Source organism: Homo sapiens, chromosome 13 (genome assembly GCF_000001405.40).
Source record: "Homo sapiens chromosome 13, GRCh38.p14 Primary Assembly".
Classification (NCBI taxonomy): Eukaryota; Metazoa; Chordata; class Mammalia; order Primates; family Hominidae; genus Homo; species Homo sapiens.
In genome coordinates this window covers 46,014,417-46,033,632 of record NC_000013.11, presented here as the reverse complement: position 1 = coordinate 46,033,632, position 19,216 = coordinate 46,014,417, and the positions used below count along the sequence as shown (strand labels likewise).

The 19,216-nt window shown below is 32.8% G+C and overlaps 1 protein-coding gene across 28 annotated transcripts in view; it reads left to right on the top strand.

The window, feature by feature from the left end:
• Positions 1–19,216, top strand: part of ZC3H13 (zinc finger CCCH-type containing 13) — a 98,282-nt gene that overhangs the window by 19,114 nt on the left and 59,952 nt on the right. For all 28 annotated transcript variants that reach the window (NR_167893.1, NM_001382214.1, XM_047430207.1 and 25 more), the window contains one exon: positions 13,076–13,184. Coding sequence is in view for 26 of the 28 variants with exons in the window: in XM_047430207.1 (XP_047286163.1) it covers positions 13,076–13,184 (109 nt within the window). In the remaining 2 variants the exon portion in view is untranslated. The remainder of the gene's footprint in view (positions 1–13,075; positions 13,185–19,216) is intronic.

The window sequence follows — 19,216 nt, the reverse complement described above, 5'->3', positions numbered from 1 at the left end:
GGGGCTTTTCATTAGGCATACCTAGGAAATGCGTATAGATCTTCTCTTTAAAACAGACAAACATGAATTCAAATAATTCAGATTTGGACTGCAGGACTTTTACTTAACTTTGATTTTATTAGTTGTATGATTTTTCTCTTCTGCTGAAAATTTTGGTCCCTGTTGACATTATTCATTTGCCTGACCTTACATTACATTTAATAGTTTCAGAATAGCAACTATATTATTGCTAATAGTGTTATACTGAGCTCAACTTAAGGTTTCTATATAGTTCTTAAGATATATCCTATTAAGATAATATTGTTAAATCTGTCTATTAGGAATATATAGTCAAATTCGTACATTTTAAGTTACTTGAAACAGGTCTTCTCTATGTGGTTAAACCACCAAATTGATACTTAGTTGGGTTAACTGAAATAATCAGATAATTACAAGTAATTTTGAAGTTTTTAGATTTCTTTTTTCTTTCATTTTCTAATTACATAAAACGTTTACATGATTTCAAAGCTAAATTTACAAAACAGTTTTACATTCAGAAAAGTCTTTAACTTCTGTCCCATGATTGCTGTACCCTTTTCCCTGTAGGTAACCACATTTATTAGTTTTTGGGTAATCCGGCTGTTTTAATACACACATATATATATTTAATATTTACATATATATGCACACAAATTAGTGTATATATAATCACCTTTTTTCTTTTTCTTAGATAAAAGGTAGCATTACTGTATACATTTTTCTTCACCTTGCTTTTTTAACTTAACACTGTACCAGAGATCATTCTATAGCAGTATGCAAAGCTATATCTTAAGCTTTTTTATAGTTACATAGTATTTCATTGTATGATTGTATGGTACATTATTCAACCAGTCTTCTATTAGTGGAGATTTTAGGTTATTTCAGTCTTGCCACTAAAAGCAGAGCTACAGGGAATATATGCAATTGTTATTTTGCATTTTTGTGTCTGTGTCTTAGGGAAATATAAATCTCTAGAAATGGAATTGCTGTGTCAAAGGGTAAATGCCTACATAATCTTACTACATAATGACATTTGCATTGTTGCCAGCAGCACACAGAGCCAAATTACTTTATCTTTGCTTTGTTAGTATGTGTTTTCAAACTTGTCTTTTTGCCAATTTCATAGAAAAAAATGTTATTTCATCATAGTTTTAATTATGTTTCTCTTGTGAGTGAGGTTGGGCATCTTCATGTATTTACAGGTAATTTACTGTATCCCCTGCCCATTTTCTCTGTTTTTTTTTTTTTTTTTGGTCTTTTTCTTCTCTGTTTTAAAAATTCTGTATTTTAGGGAAAATATTTTACTTAAGATATCAAGTACAGATAATTTTACTTGTCACTTTTCTGGTTTTAGAAAAACACTATGTTTTATACAGTTTTAGGATCACAGCAAAAGTTAATGGTAAATACAGAGATTTCCCATAACACTTCCTCCCCCAGCATATGCAGGACTTGCACCACTATCAGTGTCTCACACCAGTGGTGCATTTGTTGCGATCAGTGACCTTACACTGACACATTATTATTACTCATAGTCCACAGTGTAAAGTTCGGCTATTCTGTTTATTTGTCCATTGACCTACCAAAGGACATGTTGGTTGCTTCCAAGTTTTGGCAATTATGAATACAGCTGCTATAAACATCTGTGTGCAGATTTTTGTGTGGACATATGTTTTCAACTTCTTTGGGTAAATAGGAGTATAATTAATGGATCATATGGTAAGAATATGTTTAGTTTTGTAAAAAACTGCCAACTATCTTCTAAAGTGACTGTATCATTTTGTATTTCCACCAGCAATGAGTGAGTTTCGATTGCTCCACATCCTGCCAGCATTTATTGTTGTCAGTGAATTGAATTTTGACTATTCAGATAGGTGTGTAGTGGTATCTCTTTGTGGTTTTACTTTGTATTTCCCTATTAGATAAGCTCTTGAGCGTCTTTTCATATACTTATTTGCCATCTGTATATCTTTGGTGAGATTGTTCAGGTCTTTTGCCTATTTTTAAAAACAGGTTGTTTTCTTATTATTCAATTTTAAGAGTTCCTTGTATGTTTTTGGTAACAGTCCTTATTGCATATGTCTTCTGAGCTTATTTTTCCCAGTCTATGGCTTGTCTTATTATTTTGATGGTTTTTTTAATAGAGTAGAAGCTTTTAATTTTAATGAAGTCCAGTTATCAGTTATTTCTTTCATGGATTATAGTTTGATGATGTGTCTAAGATGTCATTGCCATACCCAAGGTCATCTAGATACTCTCTTATGTTACTTTCTAGGAGTTTTATTTTTTTTGTCTTACATTAAGATCTATGATCCATTTTAAGTTAATTTTTGTGAAGGCTGTGAGGTCTATGTCTAGATTCTTTTTATTTATTTATTTATTTTTTTTGCATTTGGTTGTCCGGTTGTTTCAGCATGATTTGTTGAAAAGACTATCCTTTTTTCATTGAATTGGTTTTGCTTCTTTGTTAAAAATCAGTTGACTATGTTTGTGGGAGCCTATTTCTGGGCTCTTATTATTTTCCACTGATCTGTTTGTCATTTCTTTTGCCCGTCCCACACTGTCTTGATTGCTATAGCTTTATAGGAAGTGTTGAAGTCAGGTAGTGTCAATCTCATGACTTCGTTCTTCAGTATTGTGTTGGCTATTCTGGTTCTCCATATAGAATGAGTATGTCAGTATCTACAAAGTAACTTGCTGGGGTTTTTTGGTGGGGATTACATTTAATCTATTAATTTGGGAAGAACTGACATCTTGACAGATATGTAGTCTTCTGTCCAAGAGCATGGAATAACTCTTCATTTATTTAGTTCTTTGATTTCTTTAATCAATTTTGTAATTTTCCTCATGCATGTCTTATGCATATTTTGCTAGATTTATCCTTAAGTATTTCATTTTTTTCTATACTGATGAAAATGGTATTGTTTTAATTTTAAATTCCACTTACCGTTGTATATAGGAAAGTGATTGACTTTTATGTGTATTAGCCTTGTATTCTGCAACCTGAACTAATCTATTTGTCAGTTCTTTTGCCCACCCGCAGTCTTGATTGCTATAGCTTTATAGGAAGTCTTGAAGTTCTTGAACTTTATAGGAAGATCTTGAAAAAAGAACTAATTCCTGAAGTTCTTCTGTTAGTTCTTTCAGAATTTCTACATAGACAATCATGTCTTTTGCAGACACTTTTGTTCTTCTTAATAATCTGTATTCTTTTTATTTCCTTTTCTTGTCTTATTGCATTAGATAGAAATTTCAGTATGATGAAAAGGAATAGTGAGAGGGAACATCCTTTCCTTGTTTCTCATGTTAGCAGGAAAACTTCTCATTTTTCACCATTAGGTATGACGTTAGCCGTAGGGTTTTTTGTAGATGATCTTTATCAAGTTGAGGAAATTCGCCGCTGTTTCTAATTTACCAAGAGTTTTTATTAGTCTGAGTGTTGGACTTTATCAAATGCTTTTCCTATAGCTATTGATATAATCATGTGAGTTTTCTTTGTTAGTCTCTTGATGTGGTGGGTTACATTAATTGATTTTTGAATATTGAACCAGCCTTGCATACCTAGGATAAATTCTTCTTGGTTGTGGTATATACATTGTGGGATTTGATTTGCTAGCTTTTTATTAAGTTTGACTTTTAAAATTATATCTAATTTGCATAACATGTTATGATACAAATATATATAGTGAAATGATTCCTTCAGTCAAGCAGATTTCCATATCCATCATTTTATATAGTTACTTTTTGATTTGCTAATATTTTTGATAAGGATTTTTGCTATTATTCATGAGAGATATTGGTCTTTAGTTTTTTTGTAATGTCTTTGTCTGGTTTCAGAATTAGGATAATGCTGACCTCATAGAATGAGTTAAGAAGTAGTCCATCTCGGCCGGGCGCGGTGGCTCACGCCTGTAATCCCAGCACTTTGGGAGGCCGAGGCGGGCGGATCACGAGGTCAGGAGATCGAGACCATCCTGGCTAACACGGTGAAACCCCGTCTCTACTAAAAATACAAAAAATTAGCCGGGCGTGGTAGCGGGCGCCTGTAGTCCCAGCTACTCGGGAGGCTGAGGCAGGAGAATGGCGTGAACCCGGGAGGCGGAGCTTGCAGTGAGCCGAGATCGCGCCACTGCACTCCAGCCTGGGCGACAGAGCGAGACTCCGTCTCAAAAAAAAAAAAAAAAAAAGAAGTAGTCCATCTCTTCTGTCTCTGAAGAGATTATAGAGAATTGGTATAATTTCTTCCAGAAATATTTGGTAGACTTTACCTATAAACCATCTGGTGCTTTCTGTTTTGAAAGGTTATTAATTATTGATTCAATTTTTAAAATAGATATATACCTATTTAAATTGCTTGTTTCTCCTTGTGTGAGTTTTGGCACCTTGTATTTTTCAAGAATTGGCCCATTTCATGTAGGTTGTCAAGTTTGTATTCATGAGTTGTTCATAGTATACCTTTATCATATTTTTAATGTTCATGGGATTTGTAGTGAGATCCCTACCTTTGTTTCTCCTATTGATAATTTATGTCTTCTCTCTTTTTTTCTTAATTAGCCTGGCTAGAAGCTGATAAATTTTATTGATCTTTTCAAAGAAAACAGCATTTGGTTTTGCTAATTTTTCTCTATTGAATTTCTGTTTTCGATTTCATTGACTTTTTTCATTCTAATTCTTAAGTTTATTTTCTTCTGCTTACTTTGGGTTTAATTTGTTCTTTTTGTTGTTTTCTAAGGTGGAAGCTTAAATTAATGATTTTTGGTTGTCTTTTCTAATATATACATTCAATGCTATAAATATCTCTTTGGGTACAGTGTTTACTGCATCCAACAAATTGTTGTAAGTTATATTTTTATTTTCATTTAGTTTAAAATATTTTAAAAATTTTTTTGCAATTTCTTCTTTGACCAATATGTTTATTAAAATTGTGTTGTTTAATTTCTAAGCATTTGGGGATTTTCCTAATCTTTCTGTTACAGATTTCTAGTTTAATTTCATTGTGGCTGAAAGCAGACATTGTATGATTTCTTTTACATTTGTTAAGTGTGTTTTATGGCCCAGAATGTGATCTGTCTTGGTGAATGATCTGTATGAGCTTGAGAAGAATGTGTATTTTGCTGTTGTTAGATAAAGCCATCTATAATCAATTATATCAATTTTGTTGATGGTGCTGTTGAGTTCAACTGTGTTTTTACTGACTTCCTGCTGAATCTTTCCATTTATGATGGAAGGGTGTGAAATCCTCAACCATAAGAGTGAATTTCTCTTTGCAATTTTATCGGTTTTTGCCTCAGGTATTTTGATGCTTTGATGGTAGGGTCATACACATAAGAATTGTTATGTATTTTTGCAGACTGGACGTCTGTATCATTATGCAGTGCTCCTCTTTGTCTCTGATAACTTACCTTGCTCTAGAGTCTACTCTGTCTGAAATTAATATACCTACTCATACTCTTTTTTGATTAGTGTTAGCAGTATACCTTTCTTCATTCCTTTACTTTTAATCTATTAATATATGTGTTTATATGTGGGTTTCTTGTAGACAACATACCATTGGGTCTTGTTTTTCCATCCACTCCGAGAATATCTGTGTTTTAATTGGTGTATTTAGACCATTGATGTTTAAAGTAATTGTTGATGTAGTTGAATTAATATCTACAACATTCGTTACTGTTTTCTCTTCATTGCCATTGTTCTTTGTTCCTGTTTTTGTTCTCACTTGTTTTGTGCCTTTTTTGGTTTAAAATTTGTGGTTTTAATTGAGCATTTATGTGATTCTTTGTTCATTCTTTTTTAGCATATCAATTATACTTCTTTCTACTTTTTTTGGTGGTTACCCTAGAGTTTACAATGTACATTTACAGCTAATTCAGGTCTGCTTTGAAACAGCACTATACTACTTCATCTATAATACAGATAATAACAAAATATTCCCAGTTCTTTACTCTGGGATATTTTAAATGCATTTAGATTTTCTGCTCTTTAAAGGATTGGTAAAATTCCCCTGCAAAACCCACTGGGTTTGGTACTATTTTATGAAGGAGTTCTTTAACTGGCTTTATTTTTTCTTTGAAAAATGATGTAGACTTTTGGTTCTGTTAAAGTCAGTTTTGGCAAATAGTATTTTTCTAGAAATTTCAGCCGTTTTTCATGTAAGTTTTCAAACTTGTTTGCATAGAGTTATGTAAAGAAATCTCACCAGACACAGTATCTCACCGGGCACAGTGGCTCATGCCTGTAATCCCGCACTTTGGGAGGCCAAGGCAGGCAGATTGCTTGAGCTCAGAAGTTCAAGATCAGCCTGGGCAACATGGCAAAACTCCCATCTCTACAAAACGTACAGAAATTAGCCGGGTGTAGTGGTGTGTGCCTGTAGTCCCAGCTACCCGGGAGGCTGAGGTGAGAGGATGGCTTGAGCCCAGGAAGCAGAGGTTGCAGTGAGCCAAGATTGCGCACTGTGCTGCAGCCTGGGTAACAGAGCTAGACCCTGTCTCAAAAAATAAAAAAAAATAAAAAACACCTCATAGTTTTATTTTTTCATTTTGCTTTGTTCTTAGAGATACTTTTACTTTGTCATTTAGGATTTTGAATTTGTGCTTTCTCCCTTTTTTCTTGTTTAGGTTAGCCAGTGGTTTATTTTCAGAGAATCAGCTTTTACATTTGTATATTAGTTCCTTCTTTGTGCTTTCTAACATTTATTTCTGGGTCTTTAAATTCCTTCTTTGGTTGCTTATTTTTTTGTTGTTGTTGAATTTGTTGAACATTTGTTTTCATTTTTATTTATGTTCTTTAATGCTGTAAGTTCTCATCAGATAACTGCTTTAGCTGAATCTCATGAATCTCATATGTCAAACTATGACAGTTATTTTCGGGAAGTTCTCCTCTTTAGATTTGGATTCCACCCATTATCTAAGAATTGTTTAATGGAATGTTAAAATTTTCAGGTTGGAGGGCCTTTTGTTTTTTACGTGTGTATGTGTGTTTTCTTTTGATTTTTAAAAAGTAACTTTCATGTTTTTCTTCATATTTTTGAATTTGATGAGATTTTCTTTGTAGCCTAAGACAGTCACTTTTTCTCAATTTTCCACCCATGCTTTAAAAAAAAGGTGTATTTTCTAGTTCTTGGTTTTTAGGTTCTATAAATATATATAAAACATCTATTCTTTGGGCATCCTATATTTTTAAGATTCTTCTTTATTTGATCTATTTTGGTTTGAGAACATTATGTTAAAGTATCTTAGTAGTAGGTTTCTGTCTCTTTTACTCCATATCCTATAGTTTCTGCTCTTCACTACTGTATTATTAGGTACATAGATACAGAAGTATTAACTATTTCTTTTTCATTTTAATTCTTTTTGTACTTTTTAGAGATGATGTTATTTTGGTTATCTGTATATTTCTTACTTGTTTTTTCTGAGATGAGCTAATTTAATTTATATGAGCACTTCATAAAAAGATTCTCCAATAATCCTATTTGGGTATTTTTCTTTAGTATAAACAAAATAAACTACAGTTTCATTAAGTGTAGGACTAAATTACTCTCTTTGTTTCTATAATATTGAAAGGATCTGAAACTGCAGATCTGTGAATAATTTCAAAATTTCAAAATATTAGGTATATATATTCTAAAACTGTATATAGACTGAGCAGGCTGTTGGTCTAACGTTCAGGCCAAAGCACAACAATGAACCATTCTACTAGATTAATAAAGTTTTTTTTTTTTTTAGCTTTAATCAGATGTGTCCAATTATAAAGGTTTGAAAACATTAAGGTCGAAAACCCTAATCTTTTTAAAATTAATAATAGTTGCTTCACTTGTTAATAATTTTGGGATACCACATGACAGTAAATAACAGAGAAGAAAAATTGGTATTAACATTAATTCTAGAGCTGCTCAAAGAAAATCCAGGAATTGGTTGATAATGTTAGTGTTCTTTGAAACTAAGTTTATTTTTAGAGCAATAGGATTTGAAATAGCATTATTCTTTTAAAATAAAATGAGAGGTTAGACCTGGTATCGTGGATCACGCCTGTAATCCCTGTACTTTGGGAGGCTGAGGTAGGAGGATTGGTTGAGTCCAAGAGTTCAAGACCAGCTTGGGCAACATAGAGAGACCCTGTCTCTACAAATAAAAAAATTTTTTAATTAGCTGGGCGTAGTGGTATGTACCAGTAGTTCCAGCTGTGGGAGGCTGAGGCAGGAGGATTGCTTGAGCCCAAGAGGTCAAGACTACAGTGAGCTATGATTGCGTCACTGCTCTTCAGCCTGGATCATAGAACAAGACCCTGTCTCAAGTAGATAGATCGATAGATGGGATAGATAGATAAGATCAATAAGATAGGTAGATAGATGGATGATAGGAGAAGAAAACAAAGTTTTGCGTAAAACATTGAATGTTTAAAATCCTCTGATGTCAATATAATAAATATGGAATTATTACTTGAATGATAACTTTAGTAGTGGATAGATTTGTGTAGATGTTTATAAGTGAATATTAGTAGCAGGTGAGAATGTTATTGACATACAAATAATTGAGTCATTCTTTGACTAAATGTTCTGAGATAATTTTTGTATATTAACTTCAAAGGAAATTTCTCCAAGTAATTGTGGAAAGATGTAAGTAAATCCAATATAAGAGGTGTGATTATATAGGAAGCTCAGAAACTGTTAGGGATAAACATGGAATTGATTTTAGGCATAGAAAGTTAATTGCACTGGTGTAGAATAGGGTGACTTGACCTGACAATAGTTGCCAGCTGAAGAATTTCTCCAGAATTCATCACATAAAGAGAAGTTATGGAAAGTATTGACAAGGTTTAAAAACATGGGGGAAATACTTAGAAAATTCAATATGCATCTAGTTGGAAACCCAGAAGAAAAAAAAAAAAGAATGTTGGAGAAGCAACATTTTAAGAAATAGTAGCTGAGAATTTTCCGTAATTGATGAACCACAAATCTACAGATACGAGATGTGCAGTACATGAGAGATAGAATATTATAATGAAACTGCAAAGCATCAGAGACATAGAGAAAATCCTAGAAACCTCTAGATACAGAAAGACAAATCCCCATGCAAAGAAGCAACAGGATGACATCAGTAACAAACAATGGAAGCTAAAAGGCAGTGAAATAATATTTTCAAAGTACTGAGATAAACCTATCAACCCAAAGTATGTACCAAAGTCTGGCTTTCAGGAATGAGAATAAAATAAAGACCTTTTCAAATAAAATTGAGAGTGTTTACTACCAACAGATCTTCACTAAATAGAGAATATTTAAAAGGATATACATCAGGAAGATGGAAAAAGACCTTAGAAGAAGGGTCGGAAATGTGAATAGTAAAGGAGAAATTTTTATTAAGTTGGAAATTCTGTCTTGTTATAGCCTGAAGTTATCAAAAGTGTAGCATTGTACCATGAGGAAGTGAAGTGTACTATGAAGTGCCAGGCAGATCACTTTGGATTCCCCAGAACCCGTTCCACCACTTTTTCATTTTGTATCAGCATTGTGATTTGGGGAATTGATCCCACTTTCATGGCTGGGCCTTGATTAGTCGAATCCAGTTAGAATAATCCCATTCTCCTTGCTAATTCAATTGATTCAGGAAGCAGGCCTAAGCCATTTATCCCATGGCTATTACCTTGATAGTTATTCATTCATAGGTGGCCATGTGACTGAAGTTGGCCTAGTCACTCTGAAGGAAGGAATTCTTATTTGTGCTTGTGGGAGAGATACACTGAGGAGACCCAGATTGCTTCTTATTATGGTAAGAGATAAGCTTTAATGTGAAGTCAACATTAGGCAGAGCGGAGCTGTGATAAATGAAAACAAGAGTGAATATTTGGTCTTTGATGATTTCACTGTTACTAAGTCACTTAGGCCTGAAGTTTACCCTATATATAGACTTCATTTTATGTGAAATAATAGTTCAAATTTGTATAGTTTAGGAGATTATAGTTTCTTAGTTGAAGCTCCATTTTTCTCTGCTAAAACAAGTTAGACTTCATTAATACAAGTATAATTTCAATTCTAAGTCAGGGGAGTTGGAAGCTGTATGCTTTATGCTGTTCTGACAAGACTAGATTAATTTGGGGTATCATGTTTCATTGAAGCACACTAGCCGATTAATATGCCCAGAGAAGATGACAGAATGATGAAGAAAGGGCTAGCACGTGAAAGAAGTATTAGATTTGTTTTGCATAATTCCAGAGGTTAGAACTATTCCCAATCAGTAGAAATTGTAGGGAGGTAGAACCTCTAGAGAGGTTAAGAAAGATGCAATGGGCATAAGAAATAATTTTCTAATAATTAGAACTGTCTGGAAATGGGAAGAAAGGGTGCAACAGCACAGAGCTAAGATTTTTGCCCCCAAGAGTCTTGTAATAGAGGGCTTCCATAGCTATACAAATATTGTGGAAAATTGTTCTGCATAGGGTAGGAGGTTGGATTATATTACTTACACAGCCTCCTAACCATTTTTATACTCTAGTTACTAATAATGGTTCTCAACTCTCTTAGCCTTGACACTTCCTATTTCATATTCTTTGTAATGCTTGCTTTTTATCTAAAATTAATGATGAACATAATCTGCCCACGCATATAATGTTCAAGAAATAAATGTGCATATGAGAGTGGAAATGAAAGTAATATAAACATCTAAAATCATGTATTACATTTCTGAAATTCAAAAAACTTCAAACATTTTTCCTAAGACACAGACATTTGGGAGCAAAACCTGGTCTTAATTGAAATAAATTTAATTACAGTTTTTATACAAGTGGTGAATTTCTGTGTTTTGCTGCAAAAATGTTAGTATGTTTGGTCACAGGCTACTGTTCCAGACTCCACTGGAACAGTAGTACTACTTAATATGCTTTGAAATGCAAAAAAAAAAAAAAATTCTGAACTCTTAAAATATCTGATCCCAAGGGTTTTGGCTAAAATACTGTGGTTCTTCAAGTATTTCAAGACTTAGATGTTCCAGGATGACTAATTTACAACACATAGTAATCAGTAGGTTATACTTTTAATTAATATGTTTGGATTTAAGAGAAGATGAGAAGCCATTCTGTTCAAGAAATACAGCAAGGTGGAATAGTAGACCGTGCTACACTACATTGGACGAGTAATACCATACCCTATTTATTTGAGTATAAGAGAAAAGGGGGAATAACTTTGTTTGATAAAAGGCATAACATACCTAAACAAGTTACACATTGTTGAAGTGGGGGAAATTAGGAAATAAGGTATTTTTTAAATTAGCTAGACCTTCTTAATAAATGTTACCAAAATAATTTCCTATATTATGATTTGAGGTAAGAACTTGAAATTCCATCACCTATTTAAGCCTGCATTCAGTCTCTAGTACCTAATAATAGAAGTTATATATGATCTCTGGGAGTAGCATCAGAGTCATATTGGAAAACATGGACAATTCAAAAATTATAATTTTAATATTTAGGGTAAATATGAAATATTTACAGACATCATTATTAATGACATTTATTGATACAACATTTCTGGCTCTAAATCTGATAAAAAATGTTACAAATTTATAGATTGATTTTGCAGCACCAGCACTACTGCTCTGACACCCTTTTTAACTAGACTTGCAATTGGATTTTACATACTTTTAAGTGGACAGAAAGCACAGAATATGTTATTTAATAATTTGGAGATAACCTCCTATTAAATATTTTTGGTATAGTTATTCAGTAATGTATATTTACAGTGGGTTTAATCCACAGAACATTCAAAAATTGTTTGGGATGTAGGATAGTTCTTCATTGATGTTCCACATAATATGTTTTAAGAGTAAAAGTAAATTATATTTCTTCCTTTTGTCTTCTGTTCAAGTAGAGGCCCATTTCTGTTTTCTTGACTCTTCACCATTTTTTTCATGGCAGGTTTTATTCTCATATAACTTACAAATTATTTTCGTCAGCCTCTGTTGTCTTACCAGCAATCAAATCCAAATTTTGTCAGTAATATTTACAGTATGACTTCATGCCTAAATATGTAGAATTTAGGGGCAGTTATATATACTAGAGTTCTTTAAGAAGAAAACTACAAAGAGAAATTAATTTGTGTTTTAAGCAGCCAAATTTTATGATTAGTAATGCTCAGAAAGAAATTTGAGCACTTAATATCCTTGTGTGTAAGTGTCTTTCATAGTATTTACAATGTTAGTAAAAGTAAGACTTCTGCTGTGGTGGAAGATAACAATTATATAACACTGGTTACTTTTATTTTCTTACCACCTAGTAAAATATGATTTGGAGTTCTTATGTAATAGGACATTTAATTGACTTTTATAATCTGAATTAATTTTGTCCTTTTTTGTGTGTAAGCTGCTTTTATACCTGGAATAAAATGTAAAACCTGTTTTTTAGCAGCAGTAGTGAGGACTAATTTACTATTTTAGGTACCATTTGGTTTCATCAAAATGGGTAAAATATATTTTTGTAAACCTTTATAATACTATTAAATGAGTTTGGATTTATCCTTGGGTGTCTAGGAAAATGACAATTACTTGAATATATGACAAGTCCTAGATCAGTTATTTTTAGAAGTCTGTGGTGAATGGTTTAGCCCTTTTTTGACATTTTAAAATATAATCACTTACAAATCCTTCCATTGTATTTTATTCATTTTAAACTGTCTTTTCCCCAGTGGTTTTCACGTGGAAACTTACTGTGTAGCTGAATGTCACAAGTTTGTTAAAGTATTAGATTTGCATTGTATATTTTTACATCTTAGCTACTCTTTAATATTTAAAGTTTTTGTTCTTTAGTAAAATAGATGTAGTATAGTCTACATCTCTTTTAGTTTTTGTTGTTTAGTAGTTTTTGTTCTTTAGTAAAATGGAGTATAGTCTTTTCATTGTGGTGCTAAACTAGAATTTGTCACTTTCTCTACTTAGTGGATAAGTGACTATTTACAAAACTGATTCTTTGATGAAACAGAGATGAATGAAATTAAAATGTTCTCTTATTACAATAAACTACCTCATAATTTTTAAAAATATAGTAATCTGAATGTATGTATGTACTTTTTTAGAAAGAATCTTCAAGAGGGAGACATAGGGAAAAGGAAGACATAAAAATCACTAAGGAAAGAACTCCAGAAAGTGAAGAAGAAAATGTAGAATGGGAAACTAATAGAGATGGTGAGTTTCAGAATCTTGGTTTAAATGGCGAATTCTTGATTATTTACTTTCTAGAGTTTTCGTGGGCTTCAGAACACCTTTCGACTGTGATCCCTCTCGTTTCAGAATCATTTTATTGACATATTTCTATCTTACTGAATTATAAGGCAAAAACTGGCATATAGTAGCTGTACAAAGGCAGAGAAAGTGGTTTGCATTGCATATTTTTATTTTCCCTTCCTAGTTTTCCCTCTAGAACTTTATTGTGCAGCATTACAGCCCTTCAGGATTGTATTGCATATGTAAATTTAAAAATTCCTAACGCTAAGCTTAAAATGAAATCTATATTTGTTTTACATAAAATATTATAAATGAGATTTTTAAATCTTAAGGACTTGGGAAAGTTATTTCCAAGAAATGTTTGACTTTTATCTTTCAGAAGAAATCAAAATCAGATTAAGATAGAGACCTGGATTTATTAATAAAAAATTAGCAAAAAAATTTTTTTTCTTGAGACATGCTCTCACTGTGTCACCCAGGCTGGAGGACAGTGGTACAATCATGGCTCACTGCAGCTTAGCCTCTTGAAGTCAAGCAGTCCTCCTGCCTGTTATCTCAGCACTTTGGGAGGCTAAGGCTGGAGTACCACTTTAGCCCAGGAGTTTGAGACCAGTGTGGGCAACAAAGTAAGACCCCATCTCTACAAAAAAACAAAGAAATTAGCCTGACATGGTGGTGCATGCCTGTGATCCCAGCTACTTGGGAAGCTGAGGTGGGAGCAAAATCATTTTTGAGTCATCAATAAGCATTTATTTTCCACCCCTTGAATGTTTTCTCCACCTCTTTGATGTTCTGAAAGATGGGCACTGTAATGTCATATTACCAAACACAGAGAAAGAGAACTTGTATTTGTTAAATGCATTGAGTGGGGGTGGACAATTTAATGTAATTTATATAATTGTCTTATTATTTCAATAGCTTTGTTACTCTACTTACAGATGACAAAACTAAAGATCTTAAAAATTTAAGCAACTTTTTCAGTGAGAAGCTGAAAACTTAGACCAGGGATTAGAAAACTAGAGTGTGTGGGCCAGTCACTGGTTTTTGCAAAAAAAGTTTTATTGGAACACAGCCATGTCCATCCATTTGGTTACATATTGTCTGTGGCTGCTTTTGAGCTACAGTGGCCAAGTCGAGTCTTTATGACAGAGAACTGAGAAGCTACAAGACTACAATATTAACTACTATATTTCAGAATTATCTCTGAAGACTTAATAGACTAACAGTTGTAAAGTATTGTAAATACATCTTTCCAGTAATTGTTACATCAGTACTTAAAGGAAACCTGTTCCATCTTTGGACAGTGCTGTTAAAAAATTGCTTCTAAGAACAAATAGGAAACTTGTTTATGGTTACTCAGGATTTCATAATCCAACCTAATACCGCTTCTACAAAATAGCAATAAAGGCAGCTATACTCTCCCATTTTAGTTGACTAGTATATTTAAATAAAATATTATAAACCATAACTGTTCAAGTTTGGAGAGCTAACTTTTCCTAAATACTAAGGGGTTACCTTTTAACACACCCAAGCATCCTTTCTTTTCATTTTAATTTTTTTGCATAAAAAACATTTTAAAATGTATTTGATACTTCTTATCTTTAAAATATTTTCAGTTGTCATTACAATAATTAGTAGTTGTTGAAAATATAAAAGGTTCAGAAAAGCCCAAGTCTGTTCTTTTTCTTCCTGGTAGGTATGTCAAACCTTCTCCATAAATCTATGCTTTCATTTCTCTTTTTTGCTATCTACTAAGCAGAGACAATGGAAATCTTTAGGAATTCCCTCAACTTCCTCCTACCACACCTTCAAACTAAGTTTTTATTTGTGCCTAAACTTTTTTACTTCCCTCTTATTCTGTGTAAGAGGCCTCCTTCCTGCTGTATAAGGTTGATGAATAATTCCCTTGTATTGTAGATCTGATTTCCTCCTGCCTCAGCAATCTTGTTCATTTGTGATACACTCTCTTCTATATCTTTAACATCCATTTTCTCTCCTCCCTATTTTACTGTTAGTCACTATCCTGCTTATCCCCACTTAACAACTAAATTCTTAAAACAGTTCTGTGCCTTACTGTTTCTACTTGATACTGTTTCACCTGATACTTATTATTCAGTCTTCTGACCCAACTCTCCACTAAAACTGCTTTTCAAAGTCACTAATGACCTCCTCATTGCAGAATAAATGGAGATGTACTTGTTACTATCCTAAATGGCCGTCTGCAGCATTTGACACATCAAGAGCTCCTGTTTTCTTGAAAAAGACTCTTCTTTTGGCTTCTATTTATCACTCTTCAGTTTTGTATCTTCCTGTTCAAGCCCTTCAGTCTTACACGGAGGCTCCTTGTATTCTGTGTGCCCCTTAAATGTTGATTCCCAAGGATTTGCACTTAACTATATTCTTTTAAAAAATCTAAAGTGATTTTATTTCAAGAGCCTTTTATATAGGAAATTCTTTTAAAAGGTGAGTGTAAATGTCTTTAATAAGAATTTCTTATGCTTTTCCTTGATTGAAACGCACAGTTTTTGACCATTGTGTATCTCTGTGATTTGAAAGTATCTGTTGAGGGAATATTGAAGCATTGAGTTAAGTGCCCCACTCCCTGGATAGTGAGACTAAACTGGTTTCATAGACTTACCTTCTGCATTGTTATTCTATCTGGAATAACAATTTTAGCTGGATTCAGAAAAAATTGGTATATTTATAAACTTTCTGGTTTTTAGGCCACTTTTATATGCTTTTTCAGAACCCCCAAATAACTTTTATCCTTGTGTATTTTATGTTTCCATAACTGCCATATTATGAACCTGAGAAAATTTTTTAATATTTATGTATTCATTCATTTAACAATGACATATAAAAATCCATTATATGCTTTTATGAAAAATAACTATTTTGCAAAGCAAAAAATAATAATTGTGAGGAGGTGGCAGTGTTTTGCATCATTTTGCAAATTGTTTTAATATCTGGCTTAATAGTTGATAGGTAGATTTTCTTACCTGCTTCTACATTCCACCTGTTAACCACATCACATATTCTGGGAAACTCCACTATCTACTCATGGGAGAATGAGTACACCAGGCAAACAATGTAGTGTTATAGAAATAGTCTGATTTTGTAGAACTCCTGAAATTGTCTCAGGGACCTCCTAGGTATCCTCAGACCACTCTCTGAGAATCACTTGTCTGTAAGAACAGCTTTTAAAACTTGGTTGTTTTCCTGTTACCTAGCCATCTTCTTTTCTCACTTTCAATTTTTCCTTCTAGATGAAATCATGCACCCAGTGCTTCATTAACGTCGTACGTGTAGTGACTCCAAAATCTGGAGCTCTCAATTTAGCATTGACCAACTGGGCATCTCCATCTGAGTTATGTATCTTAAGGGCATCACTTTTCCTACCAGATACCAACAGTCCTGAGAGTCATCACTGACACTTCTTTCCCTCCACCCAGGCATTACCAGATAGATATTTTTATGTACCCAATACCATTGAAAACCATCTGTTTCTCTTGATATACTACTAATATTCTAGTTCTTAAGGTATTTATTTATTGCCTATAAATAGATTTTACCAAAATAACCTCCTAATCCCATCCCTTGCTTATAGTCTTGTCTCCTAATTAATCCCCCACTTTAAAGCAAGAATAATCTTTCTTACAAAGTTTTTCTACTGAAGTATACTATACGTTCAGAGGAATGCACAATACATGTGTCCAACCCATTGGATGTTCACAGACTGAACACATTTGTAAAACCACTCAAATCAGTAAGTAGGAAATTACTAGTTTCCCATAGTCCCCTTGTGTTTTCTTCTAGTCACTCCTCCCTACCCTCACCCCTCAAAGGTAACTACTGTCCTGATTTCTAGCACCATTGATTAGTTTTGTGTGTTTGAGCTCCATATAAATGGAATTGACAGCATGTACTCTTTTTGTGCCTAGCTTCTTTTGTTAACAGTATTATCTGAGATTGTACTTTATTTCACATATCATTCATTAATTGTTATTGCATCATTCTTATTGCTATATAGTGTTTTATTGTATGAATATGCCATAATTTAGTCTACTGTTGATGAACATTCAAGTAATTCCCAGTTTGGTGCTATTATGCATAATAAGGTGCTATTACTATTCTTAAACATATTTTTTGGTAAACATGTACAGACACATATCAATTTCTCTTGAGTTTATGGTTCGAAGTGGAATTGCTGGGCTGTGGAGTGTGAATGTGTTCCTCTTTAGTAGATAATTTCAGATCAAAAATGGTTGTTCCAGTTAACCATACGGTGTTTTTGCCTTTTTCATCATAGCTGTTCTAAAATTTTGTAGTAGTATCTTACTGTGGTTTTAGTTTGCATTCTCCTAATGAAGTTGAAAACTTTTTCACATGTTCACTGACCATTGTACACCCTATTTTGTGAAGTGTCTGTTCCAAATGTCTGCCGTTCTGCTATTGTGTTACCTGTTTTTTTTTTCTTGTTAATTAGAGGAATTCTTTATGTTTTCTGGATATGAGATTTTTATCAGATATATAAATATATTGTTAGTGTTTTCTCCCACTCTATGAGTTGCAGAACAGTCTTTTAAAAGAATAAATTGAATGTTCATTTTATTTTCCTGTTTCAAATTCCCTAATTTCCCATTGCCTTCAGGAGCAAGTACAAATTCTAACTACGCCTATAAAACTTTTGATTATCTGGTTACTCTTTGTATTTCCAGGCCCCACTCCGAAGTCTGTGGTTTTTATTTGGTTCCTTAAACTTCTTGTATTTGTTCATCATGTGTTCTTAAGGACCAATGAAGTAACATAAAAAGTAAAAGTATCATTGCAGTAGAATGTGTGAAAATATTTTGGTAATCTTGGAGGTTAGTACATCCTCCTTAAATAGGGCATAAAACCCAGAAGCCACAAACATTTGATTACATAAAACTAGGAGTTTCTGTGTAACTAAATGCAGAAGTTAAAAACAGATGAAATGGTAAAAGAAAATACTTGACATGTGTAACGTGTAAGCATTAGTAAAGATACTATATAGACATATAATGAGTTTCTACAAATACATAAGAAAAAGACGGCCTAGTTAAAAAATGAGTAAAAATATATATGTATCAGATAGGTAACTCACAGGAGAAATAGAACTGGCCAATAAATGCTCAATCTTACTGCAGGGAAATACTGATGAAAATAAAGAGATATGATTACTCACCCATTCGTTTGGCAGAAATGAAGAACATTAATGTTTTCAAGTGGGGGTTTACATTGGTAAAGGAGTTTTGGAGTACAGTTTGGTGTTATTAGAAATAGAAATTATACTTATTTTCAGTCTAGCAATGTAGTCTGAGAAATAATGTCATAGAAAAATACTTGCACTTGAACCAAAGTATATATCAAAATGTTCATATAAGTCTTGTTTTTAACAGCAAAATACTGGAAACAGTTCATCTGTCTTTAAGAAGGAAACTCTTTTAAGTAAGCTACGATAAAGTATGATCATATTAATGAAATGCTTTGCAGACGTTAAAATGAAGATAGTTGAACTCTATGACTTGGAAAGATCTTGTTTATAGGGCAGTGTTGAATGTTAAAGGGAAAAATGTAAAACATTATTTTCATGCATATGACACTAAACTGTTAGCAGTGTTATCACTGGAGTAAGGATGGCTGTAGGAGGAATATAAGGGAAATTTCATATTTTACTCTGTGTATTCAGAATTATTTAAGACTTTAGCAATGAGAATGTATCATAAAGGCAAAGTACAAAATATAGAATGGAATTCAAAAACAAGTGTCTGAAATCAGTTAATGAATTTAGAAAACGTCTCAGACAGCTTGAGGTTAAAAACTGATACACATAAATGATACTAACTCATTGGAAAAAGGTTAAATATAATTAGCATGATGTAACAAGGCAATTCACAAGTATTTATAGTTTTTAATCCTTATACATAAACCTTTTATATATCTATGATTATTTTTATACAATAAATTACTGG